Source organism: Homo sapiens, chromosome 5 (genome assembly GCF_000001405.40).
Source record: "Homo sapiens chromosome 5, GRCh38.p14 Primary Assembly".
NCBI classification, from domain to species: Eukaryota; Metazoa; Chordata; class Mammalia; order Primates; family Hominidae; genus Homo; species Homo sapiens.
The window spans coordinates 4583856-4586040 of NC_000005.10; the positions used below are offsets into that span (position 1 = coordinate 4583856).

Consider the following 2185-nt stretch of genomic DNA (forward strand, 5'->3'; position numbering starts at 1 on the left):
AACCTTCCTTAATTTTCTAACAATTTACCGTTGGGCACAGTCCATAGTTATAGGTTTATAAGTAGATATAATTTATAAAATCATTATAATATGCCAGGCATAAAGGCCATGCGTTTTTATATTTCTCCTGGCATCCTCAGGAAACATCTGTGAGGCAAGTAAATCAAAGAGAATGACCGAGGCAAATCTCAATCATTTTAGGAGGTTTATTTGCCAAAGTTAAGCTTCCACAGCTGGGAGATGGGTCTATGCCTTTCTCCAAAGATGATTTTGAAAGCTTCAATATTTAAAGGGGAAAGGGCAGATATTGGAGGAAGAGGAAGAAATGTTTAAAATGTGTGGGTAGATAAGAGAAAAACAGTTATATCCTTTTGAGTCTTTGGTCAGCCTTTCACTGAATATACAATTTTCATGTGAGGGAGGGGTAGAGGAATAGTCACATATGTCTTGGTCCGGCCCAGTGAATCTGCATTTTTACATGAGACAATGTAAACAATAGGTCAGAGGAAGCCATCAGACATGCATTTGGCTCAGGTGAGCAGAGGGATGCCTTTGAGTCCCGTCCTTTGCCCTGCACCTGTGAAGAGGATCTATCCATTTACATTGCCTGGAGAAACGTCACAGAATTGTTTTAGAGTAAAGATTTTGGGGCCCACAAGGAATTTCCTGGTGGGCAAGTTGGGAGGGAGATATGTAGCTTTTTAACTTTGTAACTATCTTATTTAGGAACCAAATGGGAGGCAGGTTTGTGTGACCCAGTTTCCAGCTTGACTTTTTCCTTGGGCTTAGTGAGTTTGGGGTCCCAGGATTTATTTTTCTTTCACAGGTGGGTACCACGGGACAACCACAAAATCCTCCCGAGACTTGGATCAGGTCAGCACCAAGCAGGGTCCTGTGAAGTGTGCGGAGCCTGCTAGCCCTTTGCCTTCATACTGCATCCTGTCAGGAGGGGGACTTGGAGGGTTAAGCCACATGCTCGGACGGGAGCTGAGGAAGGGTGCAGCTGCAACTGATGCCAAGCTCTTTGCTCCAAGCCTAGGACCCCAAGTATGAAGGTGGAAGAACAGTTAGAATCTACCATTGTAAACATCTTACAAAATGTGTACAAGAAAAGGTAGACAAACCAATCCTGAAAATATAAATTTAAAAAGACCTGAAGTAAAAGTTAAGGTGACTAATTCTCAGATACTCCCTCACTTCTCCAAAACTCTCAAGACTTGGCCAGTCTGCTGCTCCATGAGGGCGTTTGCTATCACAACACGAGAATCCTCTCCAAATTCCAGGGTGAAGAAAACATGAATCACGTCTTACATTTCCATTGATGACAGCAGGTGAGTCATATAGTGGGCGTTCAGCCACGTTGCCGTGCAGCTCAGAAGGAGCCTGACACAAGGAGGGGCTGGCCATCTGTGGAGGTGGACGGGGCAGCCAAGTCAGACTCCAGAGTGAGGGACAGGGGTTAGGTGCAGTGAGGGCAGCTCAGCTACAGAGCTCCAGAGGGAGAGGAGGCCTCGTTTCAGCATGTAGGTCATGGGGGTTCACTCTATGTGTCAACCTGACTAGGCCATAGTTCCCAGACGTTTGGTCAGTCATTGTTGTAGATGCTGCTGTGAAGGTATGTTTTAGATGAGATAAATCTTTAACTCAGTAGACTTTCAGGAAAGCAGATGACCCACCTTCATATGGATGGGCCTCGCCCCAGCAGTGGCGGCCTTAATGGAAAGACTGCTTGCCCCCAGAAGAAGAAGGAATTCAGCCACAACCTTTGGACTTTAAACTGAAATTCTTCCATGGGTCTCCAGCCTGTGGGCCTACTTTGCAGCAGTATTTAGTCTTATCATCCCCACTATAGTATAAGCCAGTTCTTTAAAATTTCTCTTTGTCTTGTCTTTCTGTCTCTCTCCATATATGTGTGTGTGGGAGGGGGGTGTGTGGGTGGGTGGGTGTGCATGTATGAACACACACACATAAACATATTATGTATACACACACATATATATGTGTATATATACATGCACATACAAACCCCTCACCCCCACACACACATGCATGCAAACACACACACACACACACTCACACACATATATGCAGTCATGTGCCACACAGTGATGGTTCAGTCAATGAGGGACCGAATATAGGACAGCAGTCCAATAAGATTATAATACCATATTTTTACTATGCCTTT

General features: G+C 44.7%; 1 annotated feature.

The window, feature by feature from the left end:
* Positions 427–1626: an enhancer, noted in NCBI's record as "P300/CBP strongly-dependent group 1 enhancer chr5:4584395-4585594 (GRCh37/hg19 assembly coordinates)". NCBI's record gives its function as "activates an origin of replication core promoter dependent on BRD2, BRD4, P300/CBP, MED14 and CDK7 cofactors, with strong dependence on P300/CBP, by STARR-seq in HCT116 cells {active_cell/tissue: HCT116}" and the evidence as "EXISTENCE:reporter gene assay evidence [ECO:0000049][PMID:35650434]".